This window comes from Homo sapiens, chromosome 12, assembly GCF_000001405.40.
Source record: "Homo sapiens chromosome 12, GRCh38.p14 Primary Assembly".
Classification (NCBI taxonomy): Eukaryota; Metazoa; Chordata; class Mammalia; order Primates; family Hominidae; genus Homo; species Homo sapiens.
Window position 1 is genome coordinate 69,524,466 of NC_000012.12, and position 24,077 is coordinate 69,548,542.

At 37.7% G+C, this 24,077-nt stretch overlaps 1 protein-coding gene across 16 annotated transcripts in view, besides 1 other annotated feature; it reads left to right on the forward strand.

Moving 5' to 3' along the window:
• FRS2 (fibroblast growth factor receptor substrate 2) overlaps positions 1 to 24,077 on the forward strand; it is a 109,406-nt gene that overhangs the window by 54,078 nt on the left and 31,251 nt on the right. For 8 of the 16 annotated variants that reach the window (NM_001042555.3, NM_001278355.2, XM_047428121.1 and 5 more), the window contains 2 exons: positions 6,400 to 6,495; positions 7,549 to 7,591. The exons of 1 other annotated variant lie outside the window; for it this stretch is intronic. The gene's annotated coding sequence lies outside the window, so the exon portion shown is untranslated. Of the gene's footprint in view, positions 1 to 2,900; positions 5,901 to 6,399; positions 6,496 to 7,548; positions 7,592 to 13,450; positions 13,519 to 15,787; positions 16,310 to 24,077 lie in introns of those variants that run through there. 7 more of the 16 variants (XM_017018718.2, NM_001278351.2, NM_001278353.2 and 4 more) reach the window with 4 other exon arrangements.
• Positions 3,510 to 3,710: a silencer, noted in NCBI's record as "peak1784 fragment used in MPRA reporter construct". NCBI's record gives its function as "represses an SCP1 promoter by STARR-seq MPRAs in K562 erythroleukemia cells {active_cell/tissue: K562}" and the evidence as "EXISTENCE:reporter gene assay evidence [ECO:0000049][PMID:32103011]".

The window sequence follows — 24,077 nt, forward strand, 5'->3', positions numbered from 1 at the left end:
CAGGCATGGCCTGCCAGTGCAGGAGCTGTGATGCGGCCCCCAGGAGGTACCTGGGGGCTGCACTGCATGCAGGTGTGGCCAGGGTGGGACCCTGGGAGAGGCCAGCTGACTAAAGGGTGTTCACGTCAAACTGGCCCTGTTTCATGGACAAGACTGGCTCTGCAGAGTTCAGATCTGACAGTTTCACTAGGGCTAAAATCTCCTATGGGGGCAGGTCAATTCTAGGGGAATGGGCATCCCTGGCCGTGTTCCACTACAGAGGCTGCAGCACCAAACCCTCTAGACTTGGCACAGGCTGGAGTTCTGCTACTACCACTTCTCTAAGTAGCTGTCCCTGCCAACTCAAGTGTCCATGGTGGCAGAGGGGTCTCTTCCTACTGGGATTCCAGAGGCCCCTGGTGAGAGCAGGTTGCTCCTTGCCTGTTCAACTCACCCCTTCTGCAGGAATCACTGGGGGCCAGGAACTAGTCCTGGGTGCCTGGTAGCCCTGTGTAGGGTTCCCAGCTTCCTCCCGCTTCAGCTATGCCCTGTATCTTTCTTCCCTCTGATCTTAATGCCTTCCCTCTGAAGGTTTGCTAGGAGTGCACGAGTCTTCCTGATGTCCCAGTCCCTTGGTGGGAGCTGTTTCTCCTGGCTTCATGTAGTCAGCCATCTTGGAGAGTCCTCCACTCTGGAAGTTTTTACCTTGATGCTCTAAATCAAATCACAATGTTAAGATGTAATATTGTTTTTTTTTTTTTTACTAAAAAAATGCATTTTATGTCATGGCCTAGAATGTGTGTAGCATGTTTTTATACAAACCACAAGTATTTAAATATGCATTATTCATACTGTTTGTGAGTATTCAAGAGGAAGGAAGGAAAGGAGAGAAAGATGAGACAAACATTGACTATAGAGAGACTGTGTGTATGATAAAGTTTCAAGAAACAATACATATCTATGTGCTCTGTGATCTGCATTTCCTTAAAATACAAAACAAAACAAGTAAATGCCACAGGTGATAACCCCCAACATTGATTTCAAAACCATGCAGACCTTCCCATTATCTTTATATGTTCCTAATTCTAGGTCTGCACACGGAGTCTTTGTTACTGAGAAAGGAACACTAAAATCCTAAGGCTTAAAAAAAATAAAGTTGTATTGTTTATAATTGGTATCTTGAGAACGCGTGTCCTCTCTTTCCTCTCCTTTCCTTTCCTTCATCTTTATTAACCATCAGTGCAATGGAGACTGTGAGGGAGATTATTTTTTTTTTTTAGCACCATAAACTCAACCAAGTGGTATGTGTTTTTTTAAAAGAATGTTGGTTTTTGCTGATAATTTCCAGATCACAAATATTTAGAAGACTAGCATATGTATTTAGTACTTTGGGAAACTTTATTTATTTTGATTTTAATTTCATTTTTTGAGATGGAGTTTTGCTCTTGTTGCCCAGGCTAGAGTGCAGTGGTGTAATCTTGACTCACTGCAACTTCCTTCCGCCCCCTGGGTTCAAGCGATTCTCCTGCCTCAGCCTCCCAAGTAGCTAGGATTACAGGCATGCACCACCACACCCGGCTAATTTTGTGTTTTTAGTAGAGACGGGTTTCACCATGTTTATCAGCTGGTCTTCAACTCCTGACCTCAGGTGATCTGCTGACCTCGGCCTCCCAAAGTGCTGGGATTACAGGTGTGAGCCATGGTGCCTGGCCCATCCTTTGGGAAACTTTAAATTGATCAGTCTGTTTCTCTGTGTAAATCTAAGTTGTACTGATGTTTACATGGCATGTTTTTTAATCATGGGGATAATTTGTTCTAAGGAATTTTCACTTTTTCCAACTAACTTAGGACATTAGTATAATAAGGCTACATTTCCTGGGTAATGTGTCCTGAGAAGGAATTACTTTGATTTTCATTTGAAAATACAGTGGGTATATTACTTTTGCTATGTGATAGGCAGTAGTTCAATCTAATAATAACCAATTAAGCTTACGATTCAGAAAGAAAATATTCCTACACAATATTTTTTCATTAATGACACTTATAAAATCAGATGCTATTGAGTATGAAGAAATAAAGCCAATTAGTGTTATCTGATAATGTCAAGAATGTGTTCCACATGAGAGGATTTTTTAGAAAAAGAAAATTAGGAAAATTAATAGAACTAATAATTTCATTATAAATTCTAAAAATTACTTTAAAGATAATTTAACATATACATGTGTATGTATGTAGATAGATGAGAGAGAAAAATATTTCAGATAGTCAGAAAAGTGTAGAAACTTTTTTTTTTTTTTGAGACAGAGTGTCACTCCGTCACCCAGGCTAGAGTGCAGTGGCACGATCTCGGCTCACTGCAATCTCCGCCTCCCAGGTTCAAGTGATTCTCCTGCCTCAGCCTCCTGAGTAGATGGGACTACAGGCGCGTGCCACCACGCCTGGCTAATTTTTTGTATTTTTAGTAGAGACAGGGTTTCACCATGTTATCCAGGATGGTCTCGATCTCCTGACCTCGTGATCCACCCGCCTTGGCCTCCCAAAGTGCTAGGATTACAGGCCTGAGCCACCGCGTCCAGCCAGTGCAGAAACTTTTGATGAACACCTGTGTGGCCACCCCATTGAACCCTGACATTTTTTCCCTGACTTTTCTAAGTGTATGGAATAACAATCAGTCATTTAAAGGTGATTTGAAAACCAATTATTGTGCTTTGCTCTGGCCAGCTTATTTTTACTCAATTCTTTTAGACCTAAGCATGGCACATTCTTTGGATTCACCCCTTAATGCCCTTAATAATCCCCTAATGCCACAGGTTTACTCTTAATGTATAGCAGTGAATCTTTCTTCATTTGTCCTCTTGTCTGAAGCAAGAATGGAGCAAAGTTTTTTTTTTTTTAATGATTTTTTTTTTTTTTTTTTTTTAAAGAGACAAGGTCTAGGTACATCGTCCAAGCTGGACTCTAACTCGTGGGCTCAAAGAATCCTCCTGCCTCAGCCTCCCAAGTAACTGGGATTCTTGTTGCGGGTCACCATGCCTGGCTTTAAGCAAATTTTTACATAAACAGCCTGGATTTACATGTTATTCCTATGGCACAAATATGGGATTTGTCGTTAATAACTGTATTCCAGTTTACTGCAGATTATAATAGTGAACAAGACAAACTGGGATTTGGAATCCTGAGGCTATCTCTGATTTAGACAAGTTAGTAACCACCGTGTGCTTTAACCTTTTTGATTGGGAAATTCTGAGAATTAACTAATGTAAATATGGGGCACATAGAAGTTGCTCAATAAAAGTTTTTAATATTACTAGCTTTCTTTCAAGTGGTTGAACTTGCTAAAATTCTGATTTCTAAATGAGTGGGAGCATTTCGGTACAAAAATATTCAAGGGTTCTCTCCAACTTTCCAAACAAAGCAGATTTGAACATTAAATTTCATCATCCAACTTTTGGAACCCCTGCTAATTGTTTTCTTTGTACTCTTGGTTTATTTTTATACCTAAGGTCTGATAGACACATAACAAATGCTTTATGTACCTTAAAGTAAGTGAAAATAGATTGTTCAGATGAAAGGTATGTGGATAAGTCAGTTTTGCAGCAATTCTAGAGAACTCTTGCCAGAACTGTATCTTTGTTTTGGTTTTCAGGGACTGTTAAATGTGATCACTGAGTCAGACTTGCTGTTTTCTCTGTCCCCTGGCTATCTCTCTTAAGACCCTGAAGTTTGCCAGCCATAGAATGTTTAAAAGGCAGAGGAGGGCTTAGCCTAGGGGGAGTTTGTTTATTTAAAGAAAAAATAATTAAGTTTAAACATCCTACCATGTCATAGCTAGTTTAGTCATGTTAAGAGTTAGTGAGTTCTTTTGATTGTTTCCTGGTGGTCTTGATATCTAAAGGTAACAGATAAATTTGAAGCAGTTAAACTTCCTGAGATTACCTGGAACCTTATAATATAATCCCAAACAGAAATCCCTAACAAAGTGGGAGGAAAGGGAATGCCATTTTTTTGCTGGTTTTTGTTTTTTGATGGGACTCTTTTAATTCAAATCTTCTACCACTCTGTTCTAGAGTTATGGTACAGATGATTTAAAAACAAAACAACAGTTTAAGAAAACCACACTTTGATAGATACATCTTCATTATTTCTTTGAAGTCGGGAACTTAAGAATCTTTTAAAAGGAACAGTGTAGCTCTACAGATGTTTAGACACAAAGAAAGATCTAAAAATTGATGATGTTATGTTTGAAGATTACCATCTCCCAAATTTATAATTTACTATTCTTTACAAATTCTTTGCCAGATAAGGAAAACTAAGACAGCTATTTTGGGCTTGCTCAGGACACTAGGGCAGATTTCTTTGATGAGATGACTTACAAAAACAAAGTCCTAAAGGAAGAGGAGAAATAAGCCAGAGAGAGAGATATCTCTTGTTACTGGCAGAGGGAAAAACAAGTCCTGAGATCCTGAAGTGAGAAGGTGCTTGATAAGTTTAAGGAAAGGAAAGATGCTGGTATAGCTTGAATGGGGTGAATAAGGGAGAGAGTGGTAGATGAGGTAAGAGAGATGGGGTGGGGGATAGCAGATCATGGTCTTTATGGGCCTTTGTAAGGAGTCTGGCTTTTAGACTACTGAGCTGGACTCAGTTGGAGAATTCGATTAGAAGAATGACATGATCTGACTTTCTTTTGAAAATGGCTAATCTCACTGACTTGTTGAGGTGAGCAAGAGAGAGACTGGGAGATCAGACAGGGAACTATTATACTAATGTGTATGCAAAATATTGTGGCTTGGACCATCGTAGTAAGAGTGGAAGTGGTAATAATATGAATATCTTTTGAAACTGGAGCTCCTAGGATGAACACTACATGGGTAGTGACATTTTAAAATACTAGAAGGTAGGCTGGGCATGGTGGCTCATTCCTGTAATCCCAGCACTTTGGGAAGCTGAGGCAGGTGGATCACTTGAAGCCAGAAGTTTGAGACCAGCCTGGCGAACATGGTGAAACCTCGTCTCTACTAAAAATACAAAAATTAGCCAGACGTGGTGGCATGTGCCTGTAATCCCAGCTACTCGGGAGGCTAAGACAGAATCACTTGAACCTGGGAGGCAGAGGTTGCAGTGAGCCGAGATTGTATCACAACACTCCAGCCTAGGTGACAGAGTGAGACCCTGTCTCAAAAATAAATAAATAAATAAATAAATAAATAGTACTGGAAGGTTAAATATTTCATCAATTTAAGTTAAAAAAATTCATCTGTTAATCATTTCAGTAAATCCTTATGAACACTTATAGCATGGAATTCATTGTTTTAGGTGCTTGAAAAATACCCGTAGGCTGGATGTGGCAGCTCACGCCTGTAATTCCAGCACTTTGGGAGGCTGAGGCGGGCGGATCACCTGAGGTCAGGAGTTCAAGACCAGCCTGACCAACATGGTGAATCCCTGTCTCTACTAAAAATACAAAAATTAGCCAGGTGTGGTAGAGCACGCCTGTAGTCCCAACTGCTAGGCAGGCAGTTGGATTGTTTGAACCTGGGAGGCAGAGGTTGCAGTGAGCTGCAGTCTTGTCACTGTACTCCAGCTTGGGCAACAGAGTGAGACTCCGTCTCAAAAGAAAAAAAAACAAAAACCAGTAAATAAAACCAACAAAAACCCCTTCTGTGGTTTACATTGTAGTTATAGGGGGAAAGTTGACAATAACAATAATAATTGCTTATAACAATTAATGATAATAATTGCTTACAACAATTAATGATAATAATTGTTTATAATAAATAAGCAATTTGTTGTATTCAGAATGTACTATATTAGGGCTACCATATATTTCTTTTTTTTTTTTTTCCAGTCTGTAAATGGCACTCCGGAGTTGCAAGGTCCCACTGGGTGACAGGAATTGAGGACTGAAGAGTTCTGGTCCCGTGGTACAAATAGCCAGTTTTCTATCTCTCCCACCTCAGTCTCAGCTCTGTTAATAATGTTTTTTATGAGAAGGTTGCTCAAGAAGTGCTTTGAGGCTGGGCATGGTGGCTTACACCTGTAATCCTAGCACTTTGGGAGGCTGAGATGGGAGGATTGCTTGAGTGCAGGAGTTCAAGACTAGCCTGGGCAATGTAGTGAGACCCTGTCTCTGCAAATAATAATTTAAAAAATTGGCTGGCCGTGGTGGCATGCACCTGTGGTCCCAGCTACTCAGAAGGCTGAGGTGGGAGGATCGCCTGAGCCCATGAGATTGAGGCTGCAGTGAGGCGTGATGGTGCCACTGCGCTTCAGCCTGAGCGACAGAATGAGACCCTGTCTCAAAGGGGAAAAAAGTGCTTTGAGAGTTCTTTCTGGTCACTACAATTTAGATAATTATTCTTAAAGAGTTTTGTTATAATATATTCAAGAGTAACATTCTTAATAACTTAACCTATATTTCAGAAATGACCATTAAGAAGTAGATGCCCAGATGCAAAAGTGATGAAACAGTCCATTTGTCATAAAGTAAGATGCAGCTGTGGCATGTCAACCAGCTTGGTAAGTGTGGCCAAATCTTTTTTTTTTTTTTTTTAACTTTGTAGTTATCTACTTTGAAAATCATTTAATTAAAAAATATGGTAGACAGGCTGGGCATGGTGGCTCATACCTGTACTCCCAACACTTTGGGAGGCCGAGGCAAGTGGATCACCTGAGGTCAGGAATTCAAGACCAGCCTGGCCAACATGGTGAAACCCTGTCTCTGCTAAAAATATAAAAATTAGCCAGGGATGTTGGCACGCACCTGTAATTTCAGCTACTTGGGAGGCTGAGGCATGAGAATCTCTTGAACCCAGGAGGTGGAGGCTGCAGTGAGCTGAGATTGCACCACTGCACTCCAGCCTGGGCAACAGAGTGAGATACTGTCTCAAAAAGAAAAAAAAAAAAGGTAGACATTAAAGTTACCTTGTATTTTTGGTTTTACTTTGTAGTACAAATTCTACCATACAGCTCTAAGAAGTGTATTTCTGTGATGTATCTTACAGCATAATTTTGGTCATTATGCTACTTGCATATTTTTAAAAATTAAATTTGTTTCGTATGTTTCTTCCTAGGATTAAAAGTATACCCTTCAGTATGGGGTGTCTTATTGGAGTGGTGAAAATATTATGGAATTAGATGATGTGGTCATGGTTACAAAACTTTGTGAATATGTAAAAAAAACACTGTTCAAAGAAATGCTTTTTACCTTATGTGAATTACACCGAAAAAAAAAAAGGACCCTTCAGAACATCAAGTCTTAGAAAGAGTATAAAATCTATTTGACTTAACAGCTGTTTTAGAATATAAAAATTGCCACATATCATCAGGTACCTAGCAAAATGACTTGATATTTAGAGAATAGAATAAGTATTTTTGTAATAAAAGTAATACATTTTGGTTTTTTATAACACATACTTTTGTTATTAGAGACCAACTGTCTCTCAAGCTTTCGTAATATCAAATGTCATAGCGTAATATTCTGAATGTACTCTGTTAGCATTTTGTAATTTTTCATTTTTAGTAGACTGTCTTGAAACTAACATTTCCACTTTCTACCTGAAATTTTTTTAGGAACAAAATTGTATCTGTTTTTCTCAGAAGAGAATTCCACAAGGTAAGAAATTGTAAATATAGTAATAAAACTAATATTGTTGAGTAAGGCTTAATTGCTCCTGATTTTTAAAAATTTGTTTCCATGTATTTATTTAATATCTTTTCTTTATTATGGGATTCTCACTAATTTATTAGCCACTGTTTTACTATGTCAGAATTTGCTAGCAAGACACAGATCATCTTGTTTGAATTTAGGATAAAAGGGAATGATAAAAGTAGTCACCTTTAAAATTCAAATACTGCTTCTCATGGTCAGAGCTTATTGAGTGGGTTTATCCTTTTTAGGAAAAAAGTTCTTCCATTGGGGCTCATTTATCTTTTACTCAGTGGACATTGCCTACGTGACTTGGAGGAGTAGAGGGTTCATAGGAGCTCTCTTAGGGGCTGGTAGATTTGTTTGTTTGTCTGGTAAGGGTTGCATCCTCCAGAGGGGAGGAATGCTGTGTCCTTGCATGGCAGAAGGTGGAGGGCAAGCAAAACTAATGCTGAGCAAAGCTTCTTTTATAAACGCCTTAATTAGGTCATGAGGAAGGAGCCCACATTACCTAGTCACCTCCTAAAGGTCCCGTCTCTTAATACTATCACATTGGCCATTAAATTTCAGCATCTGAATTTTAGAAGGGACACATTCAAACTATAGCAGGAAGGGAATTCACACATCTGCTGAAAGTGAAGCCAAGATTAGGGCTTTTTAAAATAAGTATTAATTTATATATCAGCACTTAAGTATTTATAAGATCTTTGGTGGGAAGACCAGAAAGTACTGAAGTTGATATTGACTTGTTATTCTATTCATTGTTGAATAATCCCGCCATCCTTTTTAAAAACTAAGAGAATTATACATCAGGTAACATAGTTCCTTTCTCCAGTTTCTTTAATTTTGAGTCTTTTGTATGGCATAGTAATTTTCTTATTCTTACTTTGATGTGTTACCACACTGCATAAATAGAATAGATAGTATTCTCATTTTACAAATGAGGAAACCAGTAGTAGGATTGGCTTTAGGTTCTTTTACTAATCTTATACTGCCACCCTATCAGCTGATACTTTCCTGTATATAAAAGGTATAACAACTAGGATAGTCTTAACTTGAAAGAAGTTGTTTCTAACCAGGAAGAACCTCATAGCCTGAGAAGTTTAAAAAACACACATATACAGACAAAAATATAAGCAGTGAATACTGTAGGCCATAGTCAAAGGAACATTTATTAATGTGGAAGGTCCACCTCTGTTATATAGAAAAGTATTTCAGAAGTATTTCCAATTTAGAATGAATGCCATAAATTTAAGTTGTCTAGGTTTTTTTTTTTTGAGATGGTGTTTTGCTCTTGTTGCCCAGGCTGGAGTGCAATGGCGCGATCTTGGCTCACCACAGCCTCCGCCTCCTGGGTTCAAGTGATTTTCCTGCCTCAGCCTCCTGAGTAGCTGGGATTACCGGCACGCACCACTGTGCCTGGCTAGTTTTGTATTTTTAGTAGAGACGGGGTTTCTCCATGTTGGTCAGGCTGGTCTCGAACTCCCGACCTCAGGTGATCCGCCTGCCTTGGCCTCCCAAAGTGTTGGGATTACAGGTGTGAGCCACCACGCCTGGCCATATTTCTAGTTTTGAGCATGCCTGTTTACTTAAAGGTTATGTGTCTAGTTTTGATGGGTGGGAAATTAGAATTTCATCGGGGTGATGAAATGAGCAATTTGATCTTGTGTTTTTCAGAATATAGTAATCCCCTCCCCGCCAAATTATTTGTTTGTAGTGTGAAAATCAGGTATACTGGATTATAAACCAGTATCTTCCGTCCCAAAAGGCTTAATTTGGTTCAGACACTGCTTTATTGTTAGAGGCAGAGATTTAGATTGTTTTTGAGGAATCCAGTGCTATTCTAGGTCATTTTAGGTCTGAAGGGTCTTCAGATATGTAATAGTAACCACTTGGCTTACACCTAGCTTACATTTAAGCCTGTGGAAAGACTGAGAGAGATTTCACATGTAGGTGGTGGAATATGGAAATGCAGATTGATAGTCTACTTGGAGTTATGGGTCTTTGAAGTTTAGCAGTCTTTTTGTTGTTCAAAAATACACTATGACATTAAAAAGACGTGGGTCTTCTGACCCTGATGTCTTATTGTGTATTAGGGCTTCAGGTGTTACAGTTCATTTTAACTGAGGTTGAACGTAATACACAAAAATGTGGATTGTTTTATAGTTTATAAAAGAACAGTTATTTTAGGTACCTTTTTGTTTCATGTTCCACTCTTAGAGTTCCTTATTAGCTGGCTTGATTTTATTTTTTCAGCTACGTGCTTTTAGATTAAAAAACAAAAAAACAAAATTCAGAATAGGTTGAAACTCAACACAAATTGCTGCCACGTAACAAAAGTGCTGATCAAGTTAAATCAACCCCTGTAATGTGTACTGAAAGGAAAACCTCTCCTCTCTCCCCCAATTTGAAGAACAAGCATTTTCCCTGCCAAGAAGTACTGACTTTAAATGGACCAGCTGTCCATATTAGGAGTACAGGGTTGCTAAGGTGACCATGGCTGTTTGGAGAAGAATGCAGCTGAGAGGGCAAGTTCTCGATGTGTGAGCTGAGGGAAGGAATGTGGTGTGATTATGCATCATTCCTCCTAATCACATGCTCACAAAGTGCTGTGTGGGCAGCATGTAGAAACTACAAGTCTGAGCGCTGGAGCTTGTGTGTGGTTAAAAGCATTTTGTTTTCATGTAAGCCACAGGCTTACAGTTTAGATGAAAAAGGTCTGCCTTGTATGTATGTGTGTGTTTGGGGTTAAAGTTGGGGACGGTGCTTTGATGGTAGATGAAATGGCAATGAATTTATTTTGCTTGATAGATACATATTTTTATTGTTTTTTAAATTATTTATCTTGGAATAAATGTCATCTTTCCAGTTGATCCTTTTCAGTCATATATACAGTATTAATAGTCCCAAGTAAATGATGTGTTCCTTGTAATTGTGTATTTCTTTGGCACTGTAATTTCAGAATGATTTGGAAATTCCTAAAAATGTGTTGTCTACTTGTTCCATTTCTTCTTTTTAAAAAACTGAGTGTTTTTTCCTCAAGGCATCCAAAGATAGGTTCTGGGCGTATCTGACAAATAAGTAGCCAATTTGGTAAAAATAATGATTCAAGGACAGTGAGAATGGTCAAACTAACATCCCATTTACCTGAGATGCTGTTAAGATTTTACTGTGGGCACCATTACTAATACTTGAAATGAGATCTAGATACAGGCGTTGATGTAGATACTTAAATGAAATGTGTTATTTTTGTTTTTTATCCTTTTTTGTTAATCCCTACAGTGATGTGTTGATCTTAAATGAGGGCGTAAATGTGATGTATTTAAGATGTGAAGTAGCTTGAACAGTGGCAGCCCTGTATTACATGAGCATCATATTATTTTTCATAATCAGATAGTCTCTTTGCTTTGAAATGATTGCTGTTAAGTGATTAATTTATAAAATATGGAGGGAAATGAAAGGATTCAAATAATTTGACCTCTTGGGCTCAAGCAATCCTCCCACCTAGAATATGGCTAATTTTTATAAATGTTCCATGTGTATTTAGAAAGAATGCAGCTTTTTCGGTTATTAAGTACAGTGTTATATTTATGTCTAAGAACTTGTTAATTGTTCTCTTCATATCTTCTCTGTCTTGGTTTTGTTTTGGATTCGGGTTTAGTTTTATTTGGGGACTGATTTATGAGTTTCTCTAGTAAGAAAGACATGGTAATTAATGTCTCTCACCATGGCTATGGGTTTGTCAGTTTCTCCTTATAGATGTGTTAATTTTTGCTTTATTTATTTTGAATGTATGCTATTAAGTACATTAATAATAAGCCAAAATAATTAAACAATTTAGAATTAGAATTGTTTTATCTGTTTGTTGAATTGAATTTTTATCATTATGAAAGGGCCCTCTATCTGAACACACTTTTAGCCTTACAGTTTTTTTTTAATTGTTGTTATTGCTGTTTTCTTGGATTAATATAGCTAGTATAGTTTTCTTTTGGTTACTGTAGTATTTTCATTCTTTTTTTTTTTTTTTTTTTTTTTTTTTTTTTTTTTTTTTTGGAGACGAAGTCTTACTCTGTTACCCAGGCTGGAGTGTAGTGGCATGATCTCAGCTCACTGCAACCTCCATCTCCTGGGTTCAAGGAATTCTCGTGCCTCAACCTTCTGAGTAGCTGGGATTACGTGTGTGCACCACCATGCCTGGCTAATTTCTGTTTTTTAAGTAGAGATGGGGTTTCCCATTTTGGCCAGGCCAGTCTCGAATTCCTGACCTCAGGTGATCGCCCGCCTCAGCCTCCCAAAGTGCTGGGATTACAGGCGTGAGTCCCCGCACCCGGCCAGTATTTTCATTCTTTAGTTTTTCATGTATTTTGATTGGAGTTTTGTAAATAGAATAAGGTTGAGTTTTATTTTTGTTCTGAATGACAATCTTTATTTTTTAACTGGAGAACTTTAGTCAATTGTGTTACCGATAGATTTAGTTTTTTTTTTTTTAATTTTTTTTTTTCTTTTTTGAGACAAGATCTCACTCTGTTGCCCAGGCTGGAGTGCAGTGGCACGATCCTTTAGCCTCGATCTGCTGGACTCAACGATCCTCCCACCTCAGCCTCTCAAGTAGCTGGGACCACAGGCATGCGCTACTGTGCTGGGCTGATTTTTTAATTTTTTAGAGATGTTATCCCACTATGTTGCTTAAGTTGGTCTTGAATTCCTGGACTCAAGTGTTCCTACTGCCTCAGCCTCCCAAAGTGTTGGAATTACAGATGTAAGCCACCGTGCCCAGCTCTGATTTACGTGTATTTCTGTCCCCTTCTGTGGTTTTTCTATTTATCCAATTCTTCCTCTCATTCTTGCCAGTCTTTTGTGTTGAGTTGGACATATATATTTGTCTCATTCCATCTCCTCTCCATACCTTGCATGCATGTATACTTGTTTATAATTAATATATTATTTATTCTTTTAGTGGTTGCTCTGGCTATTTTAACATGCTTTTCTTAGGAAAGTCCAATTAATCAGTATCTTTAACCTATTCCTGAATAATGTAGTAACTTAGCATGCTCTGGTTGTCCTCCTCCCAACCTGTAACAGTGTTGTCTGTTATCTTAGTTTTGGCATATTCTTCTTATGCACACATACAGAATTTTAGACAAATTACTGTTTTAGGTAGTAAACCTTTGTTTAAATTTATTTACCTAATTACTGTTTTCTTGGCTTATTGTTCCTTTTTGGATCTGAGACCTTTCTTCTATGATAATTTTTTTTTTTACCTGAGGTACGTTCTTTAGAATTTCCTTTAGTGAAGATCCTTTGGTGAAACAGACACTTTTTTCTTTGTTTAAAGATGTCTTTATTTCATCTTCATTCTTGAAAGGTAGTTTCTCTGTGTGTAGAATTCTGTTTTCTCATGATATTGAAGACATTATTCCAGTACTTTGACTGCTAGTATTGCTGTTGAAAAGTCTTAATTGCCCTTCCTTTGTAAGTAATAACCCTTTTATTTGGCTGTGTTAAGCCTTTTTTTTTCCTTCCCATTTAGTGTTTTGCAGTTTTGTATAATGTATTGAGGGCGTTATTTTTTTCATTCCATCATTTTATTTTTTGTAATCCCACTTGGGATTCTTTGGGCTTCCTGGATCTGAGGATAATAATAATGTCTTTGAATAATTGTGGAAAATTCTTAACCATTATCTCTTTGAATAATGCCTCTTATTTTCTCCTTCTATAACTCTAATTAGACATATAGTCTATTTTTCATGTTACTTATGCCTTTTCATCCTTTTTCGTCTCCACAAACTCATTTAAGAGCTGGCTTATAGTTATAAATTCTTGCAGGAGATTTTCTTCTTTCTACCATCATCAAGATCAAGCAGGCAAGTTTACTTGCTGTCATCTTCTGCAAGGTAGGTTTACTGCTCATTCATTTGTACTTTGTGGATTTTGGGATTTGCAACTGTATGGAAGGCAGTCTTGATCTATATAGTCTGTCTCCCGCAGTCTGCAGTTTTCTAAGCAGCATTATGAAATTACCTTAAAGTCAAGAGCCACCTTTCGTAGCTTTTTACATTTGTGCCAAAATAGGAAAATGTTTAATAATAAAATTAAAAAAACAAATTTTATATATATATATATATATATATATAGCATTGCAGATTATATATATATATACATATATATATAAAGCATTGCAGATTCCAGCAGTAGAGCCAGTCTGGACATCTAACCTACCATGTTGCTAGAAATAGAATTCCTTGATCCATTTCAAATAACATACAACTTACGTAAGGTTTGTATGAGAAACATAATACAGAATGCTAATCGGCGGTCTCCCATTAACAAAAAAAGGCCCTGGCCTTAAGTTTGGTAAATTCATGCCTTTTTATATGTTTAAGCTAAAATAAAATGATTCATGCCTTTTTATATGTTTAAGCTAAAATAAAATGATTCATGCCTTTTTATATGTTTAAGCTAAAATAAAATGTTTAAGGTAAGGAGTGTGTGTGGGGGTGGTATGTGTGTTTTAATTTCCTGCCTTATCCAACTAACTTCATGTCCATTTGAATTAAGATGGATTCTATTGGACTTCCTCTTTTATTCCTCACATTATACATTTGTCACCTTTTTCTCTTTGCAACAAAAATGGCATGTGTTAAGTTTATATTTTTAAAAATTTAGGTTCCCTTATATTATTCAGATGCATTATTTTCAAAACACATTCATAAAAAGTGATAATACCCTATCTATAATTATATTAATCTTTCAACTTCATAGTCGTAGTCTATTCTCCATGAGTTTATTTCTATATTTTGTTATGCAAATTCTCCACAAAATAACATAACATTTAGTTACACAGAGGCCCTCCTAGATGCCATGACACCCCGGTAGCAAGAGCACACCAAGAACCCAAATCTTGGTTTCTAATACAAGTTGATTATCCTTATCCTTATCCTTATCCTAAATGCTTGGGATCAGATGTGTTTTGGATTTCAAGGTTTTTGTTTTGTTTTGTTTTGAGACAGAGTCTCACTCTGTTGCCCAGGCTGGAGTGCAGTGGCATGATCTCAGCTCACTGCAACCTCTGCCTCCTAGGTTCAAGTGATTCTCCTGCCTCAGCCTCCCGAGTAGCTGGGATTACAGGCACACATCACCATGCCTGGCAAATTTTTTGTATTTTTAGTAGAGATGGGGGTTTCACCATGCTGGCCAGGCTGGTCTTGAACTCCTGGCCTCTTGATCTGCCCACCTTGGCCTCCCAAAGTGCTGGGATTACAGGTGTGAGCACCGTGCCCAGTTGGATTTCAGGGGGTTTTTTGGATTTCAAAGTATTTGCATATACATAATGAGATATCTTGGGGATGGGACTCAAGTCTAAACACAAAATTTATGTTTCATATATGCCTTTACACATAGCCTGAAGGTGATTTATACAATATTTTAAATAATTTTGTGCACGCATCATGTGAGGTCAGGTGTGAAATTTTCCACCTGTGGTGTCATGTTGGTGCTCAAAAATTCTCAGAATTTTCCAGTTAGGGATGCTGAATCTGTACCCTTCTCCTTTAAAAAGGACCAGGGTTCCTTGGAGAAATGGCTTAATCTAGGACTAGGGCAAGAAATAGACAAGATCCACTTTGGGAGGCCAAGGCGGGCAAATCACGAGGTCAGGAGTTCGAGACCAGCCTGGCCAACATGGTGAAACCCCGTCTCTACTAAAAATACAAAAAATTAGCTGGGCAGGGTGGCGGGCGCCTGTAATCCCAGCTACTCGGGAGGCTCAGGGAGGAGAATCACTTGAACCCAGGAGGTGGAGGTTGCAGTGAGCCGAGATTGTGCCACTGCACTCCAGCCTGGGCGACAGTGCGGGACTCCGTCTCAAAAAAATAAAAATAAACACTGGGTGTGGTGGCTCACGCCTGTAATCCCAGCACTTTGGGAGGCCGAGGCGGGTGGATCATGATGTCAGGAGATTGAGACCATCCTGGCTAACACAGTGAAACCTCGTCTCTACTAAAAATACAAAAAATTAGCTGGGTGTGGTGGTGCGCGCCTGTAGTTCCAGCTACTAGGGAGGCTGAGGCAGAGGAGTGACATGAACCCAGGAGGCAGAGCTTGCAGTGAGCCGAGATGGCTCCACTGCACTCCAGCCTGGACGACAAAGCGAGACTCCATCTCAAAAAAAATAAATAAAATTAAAAAAAATTAAAAAATAAAAATAACAAAATAGACAAGATCAGCTTAGAACATCTTGTAGTGCCAAAAAAAAAAAGTAAAGAAGGGCTTTAACAAAAAACCCACAAAATGGGACTATGTCAAAGGGGCATAGGAGTCACCTAAAAGAGCTAACAGTGATCAAAGTTGGAATAATTTGAAAAAGAAAATAAGTAAAGTATAAAGTAGTATTGAATTATAACTCAGAGTATAAAATAAATATCCACGGGCTGATACTGGTATGAATAAATGATTGAATAAATGAATAAATGATTGAATAAATAAGTAAATGGAGAAGAGACAAATCTGTACAGAAGAACTCCAAATAATGTATGTCAATACTCCACTTTCCTCATGGTGAAACACAACTCCCTAATCCTTAAGTGTGGGCTGTGCATGCCTTTCTTCCAAGAAGTACAGTACTTCCAAGAAGTGCAGAAGAGTTCGGGGAGAAGTAACTTCACAGTGGAGAAACCTGACAGCCAGGTAGGTTGTCAGGGGTAACATCAACAGTGATAAGTCATGTTGATAGTGTGTTTCAAGGGCTATGTTGTGATAAAAGTGGCACTTTATCTCTGTGATCCTCCTGTCCAAATCCCATACTCCCAGTCTAATTATGAGAAAAGCATCAAATTCCAAGAGAGGAGAGGCATTCTACAAAATACTTTACAGGTGCTCCTGAAAATGGTCAGGATTATCAAAAACAAGAAAAATCTGAAAAACCATTACTGCCAAGAGGATCCTTAAGAGACATGATGACTAAATGTAATGAAGTTTGTTTTTTTAAAAAACCACAAAACTGAGTCCCTCAAGAATTTTTTTAAACCTAGAAGTCACATACTTTGCAACTTTTATTAGATTTTAGATCGCATCCCACTCTTGAATGCATATTTCCCCGGGAGCAACCCATGTTTTAAAAAATTTAGTAAAGGAGGATATCAGATAACCAGTTCTTACAAACAGGCCCAACATTTATTATGTTGCATTTGCTGCCATCTGAAGGCCTACTCACACAAATGGTAGAAAGTTGTGTTTATTAAAATCTTAACTTCTTTAATATTTCAAATTTTTAAACTTCAGGGTAAACAAAATTCTTATGAAAATACTGACACTGTACCTTAGAATGTATAATTTAACTGAAGGAAGCGTGTGTATGTGTGTTTGGCCTACTCTGTAAAAATAAAGAATATAGCATTAATATTATTAGGCCCAGTTAGTCTATTCTAGTATAGTTACTGGTACAAAAGTAACACTGGGCCAGGTGCAGTGGCTCACACCTGTAATCCTAGTACTTTAGGAAGCTGAGGCAAGTGGATCACTTGAGCCTGGGAGTTTGAGACCAGCCTGGCAACATGGCGAAACTCCTTCACTATTAAAAATACAAAAATTAGCCACATGCGGTGGCATATGTCTGTAGTCCCAGCTACTCGGGAGACTGAGGCAGGATGGTCACTTGAGCCCTGGAGGTGGAGGTTGCAGTGAGCCGAGATTGCACCACTGCACTCCAACCTGGGCGACAGGGTGAGACCCTGTCTCAAAAAAAAAAAAAAAAAAAAAAGTAACACTGTATTATTGTAATTCAGGGGAAGTAGTTTTGATATAAATCTAATAACTTTATGTAAAAAGTCTTCTTATTCTTTGATGTAATTCTAACAAATTTTTTATAATTTAAAGGGAGATACTGGTTTCAAATAAGTTATTTCTCCATTTTCAGAATAATTTTTCCTCACACACTCGAAAGATGATTTTATTATCTTTTTATTATTAAAGCAGATATTATCAGGGCCATATATTAAGAGCATTTATTGCCTCTACAACCAGATATAGGTGGCGGGGGGTTATGTTCTGAATATTTTTCTTTACTGACAGACATACTTAGTATAACAAACATATTAATTTGCAGCATTCTAATTAAAAAGTGAAAATGTGCGTGCTGTCAGACCCAATCTTAAACAGGTTCAGCCTTATCAACTAGAGGAATTTAAAACCTTACTTCATGATGCCTTTGTCTTTGATTTATAGTTGGTCGTTCGTATCCATAGGTTCCACACCTGCAAATTCAATCAGCCACAGATTGAAATTATTTGAAATAGAAAGCAGTATAAAAAATATTACAAAATACAGCATAACAACTATTTAGATAGCATTTGTAAGTAATCTAGAGGTTATTTAAAGTATGCAGGAAAAAAGTATAAAGAAGAAAAAAGACTAGCTCTAAAATTCTTTATTTTTTCAAACAGATTTTTAATGAATCAGGTTATGTAAAGAAAGAAAATATTTAAACTAATATTGTTTGTAGCTAAACCATTATTTCATTGGTCTGTGATGTTCCAAACTTGTACCTTCCAACCATATGTAACCATGTTTCTATTTTCGCTGAAATAACTCAGTAGACCAAAGATGTTGGTGTTGGAATTGCATATGGCAGATAGTTCAAGTATATTCAAAGTAAATTCTAGTTAATATTAAGTACCTTTTAATGTTAGAAATTAAAAGAGCTTAGGAAAAGCTGTAGGATGAGAAATCCAATATAAACAGTTGTTTCAATCCTAGAGTATCTTCACCTTCACCCAGGCTCATCCCAGGACTGCAAAACGTCAAAGAATGAGCTAGCTTGGAGGAAATAATGTGGCTTGGATAATGACTCTTAGGCAGTTAACTTACCTAGATAGTGTCTTCAGGAGTTACATCTGCTATAATAACTATAATGCAAATGACAGTTTTTGAATCTATAGTACAAAAAGGAAAACATCAGGTACTACCTCAGTCTTATGAGTATACTTGCTCACATTGATAACAACATGGTAGCATTGCTTCTAAAAGAAATTTTGTGATACTGTATCTTAAATTCCATATTTTTCATGAGATAGCTGTCAGTTTACAGACAAATCTAAGTGATAATTTTGAGCCCCATTTTTACAAGTCATCTCAATAAGTAACTATTAAGTAACATATGTTAATAAGTAAAAATGTAAAAGCATTTGGTTGTAGTTTTATTGATATGTTTGCACATTGCAGAAATTCAGGAACAAATTTTATGAATACTTATGTTGCTATTTTTAAACAATATCTGAGATTATTCATTCAACTAAAACTTATTAAGCATTTAATATCTGTCTGGCATTCTTCAGGCACCAAGGATATTTCGTTGAACAAAACAAAATCTTTGTCACTATGGAGTTTACGTTTTGTGGTGGCATTGGAGTGAAGAGCTAGGGAATAAAAAAACAAGTCAATATGTAGTATGCCACTTGGTGGTAAGTCATTTGGAGAATGATGTAGTAGGGAAAGAGGAAAAGGGTGTAGCATCATGGGCTAGTGGGTAAGGGTTTATCTATTTCATATGTAGTGTGCTCAGGAAAATTCTTCAATAAATTGATTTGTGAGCAAAAACCTGAAGCAAGTGAAGGAGCAAGCTATGCTGATACCAGATAGAAAAGCATTCCAGGTACAAAGAACAGTAGTTGCAAAGGACCTGAGATAGGAACATAATTAGTGTATTCTAGAAACAGCAAGGAGGCCACTGTGGCTGGAGCAGAGTATGGAGAGAGAAGAATTTTAAGGTACATGATCAGTAGTGGAACAGGAGAGGCAGAAAATGATACTAAAAAATTAGGATCTCATAGAGACCATTGAAAAATCCTTAATTTTTATTCTCAGAGGAATAGGGGGAGCCATTGCAGGCCTTTGTCAGGATAAATTGTGAACCACTTTGAAGTGGACAAAAAATGACAAATGGGTGTCCTGTCTAGCTCAGCCATTGAGTTTATCTCTGTCTCATTTTGTGGGCAGGGTCGGGGGGGTGGGGAGGCTTTCTTTTTTTTTTTTTTAAGAGTACTGGAACTTAACAGAAAACTTCTTAAAAATGCAATTGAATCATAAACATTGATGTAAAAATCCTCAACAAAACCAAATTCAGCAGCATATCAGTGGGATTATATACTATGATCAAGTGCGTCTTATTCCTGGAATGCAGGGATGGTTCAACATATGAAAATTGTTCAATGTAATATACACATTAAAAGAATGAATGGGAGAAAACCACATGATTGTGTCAATTGATGCAGAAAAAACATTTGACAAAATTCAGCATTCTTTCATGATTTAAAAAAACACTAAAACTAGAAGTAAAAGGAGCCAGGTGCAGTGGTTCATGTCTGTAATTTTAGCACTTTGAGGAGGCTGAGGTGGGTGAGTCACTTGAGATCAGGAGTTTGATACCAGCCTGGCCAACATGGTGAAACCCCATCTCTACTAAAAATGTAAAAATTAGCTGGGCATAGTGGTGCGCACCTGTAATTCCAATTACTCAGGAGGCTGAGGCAGGAGAATCACTTGAACCCGGGAGGAGGGGGTTGCAGTGAGCCGAGATCATGCCACTGCATTCCAGCCTGGGTGACAGCAAGACTCCATCTCGGAAAAAAAATTAATAATAAATAAATAAATAAAAGGAAACTATTTCAACGTAGTAAAAGCCATATATGAAAAATACAGTGAATGTCATATTCAGTGGTGAAAGACTGAAAAGATTTTCCTCTAAGATCAGGAACAAGGCAAGAATTCCCACTTTCACCAATTCTATTAAATATCATACTGGATATTCCATCCAGAGCAATTAGGCAAGAAAAAGAAAAGGCATCCAAATTGGAAAGAAGTAAAGTGGTCTCTGTTTATAGATGATATGATCCTGTACATAGAAAACCCTGAAGAGTCAGCATTTTCATCTAACAACAATATGAAAAAGAAATTAAGAAAACAATTTCATTTACAATAGCATCAAAAAGAATAAAATACAAATAACCAAAGAAGTGAAAGATTTTTACAATGAAAACTATGAAACATTGCTCAAAGAAATTAAATAAATGATAAACATCTGATTTTCATGGATTGGAAGTCTTCATATTGTTAAGATGTGAATACTAAAAATAATCTACAGAATCATGCCATTCCTATCAAAACCACAATGATGAGTTTTGCAAAATTAGAAACGCCCATTCTGCAATTCATATGGAATATCAAGGGACTCTCAATAGCTAAAACAATCTTGAAAAAGAAGAAGAAAGCTGGTGACTCACACTTCCTGATTTAAAAACTTAACTACAAAGCTACAGTAATCAAACAGCATGGTATTGGCATAAATTTAGGCAGACATATAGCCCAATGGAATAGAGCAGAGAACCCAGAAATAGACCGATGTTGTGGCTCACACCTGTAATCCCAGCACTTTGGGAGGCCAAGGTGGGTGAATCATGAGGTCAGGAGTTCAAGACCAGCCTGGCCAACATGTTGAAACCCTGTCTCTACTAAAAATACAAAAGATTAGCTGGGTGTGGTGGCAGACGCCTGTAATCTCAGCTATTCGAGAGGCTGAGCAGGAGAATTGCTTGAACCCAGGAGATGGAGGTTGCAGTGAGCTGAGATCGTGCCACTGCACTCCAGCCTGGGCGACAGTGTGAGACCCTGTCTCAAAAAAAAAAAAAAAAAAAAAAACAAAAACAAAAACCCAGAAATAAACACTTGCATATATGGTCAAATAATTTTTGACAAGGGTGCCAAGACTATTCAATGGGAAAGGAACAGTCTCTTCAACAAGTGATGCTGGAGAAACTGGATATCTACATACAAAATAATGGAGTTGGATCTTCACCTAGCACCATATACAAAAATTAACTTAAAATGAATCAAAAGTATACAACTCTTGTAAGGAAATGTAGGGCGAATGCTTCATGACATTGGATTTGGCAGTGGTATCTTGGATGTAACACCAAAGGCACAGACAATACAAGAAAAAACTTCTGAAACTCAAAACCAAAAACTAATTTAAAAATGGGCCAAGGACTTGAATAGACATTACACCAAAGAAGATATACAAAGGCCAGTAAGCATATGAAAAGATGTTTAACATCACCAATTATTAGAAAAATGCAAATCAGAAATACAGTGAGATACTACCCTCACACTCATTAGGATGGCTACTTTTTTTTTTGGAGACAGAGTCTCGCTGTATTGCTCAGGCTGGAGCGCAGTGGTGTGATCTCGGCTCACTGCAACCTCCCCCTCCCAGATTCAAGTGATTCTTACGTCTCAGCCTCCCAAGTAGCTGGGACTATAGGTGTGCACCACCACACCTGGCTAATTTTTGTATTTTTATTAGAGGCAGGGTTTTGCTATGTTACCTGGGCTGGTCTTGAACTCCTGGCCTCAAGTGATCTGCTCACCTTGGCCTCCCAAAGTGCTGGGATTACAAGCATGTGACACCATGCCCGGCTAATTTTTGTATTTTGAGTAGAGATGGGGTTTTACCCTGTTGTCCAGGCTGGTCTTGAACTCCTATCCTCAAGTTTCACCTGGTTCAGCCTCCCAAAGTGCTGGGATTACAGGTGTGAGCCACTGCACCTGGCCAAGGATGGCTACTATTTTTTAAAAAATAGAAAGTAACAAATGTTGGTGAGGACGTGGAAAAATTGGAAACCTTATGCACTGTCGGTGAGAATATAAAATGGTACAGTTTCTGTGGAAAAGAGTATGGCTGTTTCTCAAAAAATTAAAAACAGAATTACCATATGATGCAGCAATTCAACTTCTGAGTATACCCAAAAGAACTGAAGGCAGGGTCTTGAGGTATTTGTACACCCATATCTATTTGTACAAAGTAGCCGAAGGTGGAAGCAACCCAAGTGTTCATTGACAGATGAATGGATAAGTAAAATGTGGTATATACATGCAGTGGAATATTATTCAGCCTTAAAAAGGAAGGAAATTCTGTAATATGCTACAACATGGATGAACCTTGAAGACATTATGCAAAGTGAAATAAGCCAGTCACACAAAGACAAATGCTATGTGATTCTACTTATGTGAAGGAGGTAGTATAGTCAAAATCAGAGAGAAAGTAGAATGGTTTTGTCAGGGGATAGGGGGAGGAGGGAGTTACTGTTTAACGGCCGTGGAGTTTCAGTTTTACAAGATGAAAAGAAGCCTAGGCAACATAGTGAGACCTCGCCTCTACAAAACATTAAAAAGTTAACTGCACGTGGTGGGATGTACCTGTGGTCCTAGCTAATTGAGAGGCTGAGATGAGAGAATCCCTTGAGCCTAGGATGTCAAGGCTGCAGGTGAGCTATGGTCACATCACTGCCCTCCTGCCTAGTTGACAGAGTGAGACCCTGTCTCAAAAAGAAAAAAAGAATTACGAGATGGATGATGGATAGTTAAGATGGTAAATTTTATGTGTATTTTACCACAATAAAAAAGTAGAAAATGCAATTAAATCTTATTCATAGAAATAAATATAAATTATACCCAGTGGAATGCAGTTGATTACTGCCCTGTGAATATGCCTGTTTTGCATCTATTTGTAAATTTCTTTCAGAACTCCTTATTCCCTGTGTATGTGTAGTTCTTGGAATGTTCCGAACCAGTTGTAACATGTTACTAATTCCATTATTAATGAGTTAAATTGTATCTTTGACATATGTTTGTTTTACTGTTTTTTCAAAGTCATGAATTTTACCATTTTTAGAAAAATGTATCCATTAATACTTTTTTTTTTTTTTTTTTTTTTTTTTGTGAGTCAGGGTCTTGCTTTCTCACCCAGGCTAGAGTACAATGGCACAGTCATGGCTCACACAGCCTCTGACTTCTGGGCTCAAGGGATCCTTCCATCTCAGCCTCCTAATAAATAAGTAGCTAGGACTACAGGTGCATACCACCACATCTGGCTAAGTTTTTTTTATTATTATTTTTTAGAGATGGGTTCTTGCGATGTTGCCCAGGCTGGTCTTAAACTCCTGGCCCCAAGTGATCTACCCACCTTAGCCTCCCGAGTTGCTGAAATTACAGGCGTAAGCCACTGCACCAAGCTCCTGTATTAATACTTTTTAACAGAATTAATCTGGTTGCTGTGTTGATAAAAGACTAGAGCAGGACAATCAGAGGCAAAGACCAATTAGAAGGCTGTTGGAAAAATTCATAAAGAAATGTTGGTAACTTGGACCAGAGAAGTAATAGTTTCGAAATGGTAAGCAGTAGTTGAACTTGGATATATTTTGAAGATACATCTGAAAGGATTGATGGATTGGATATGGGATGTGAGAGAGTAAGGTGTGAAGGATGACTGCAAGATTTTTGGATATTAATCTTAATGAAATGTGTAAGTAATTCCTTCTCAAACATTTTTAGGTTGGTAACTTTTATTTTTGATTCTTAGGAGTTTAGTTGGTTTGACTAAGAAATGTAAAAGCTGTTGATCGTG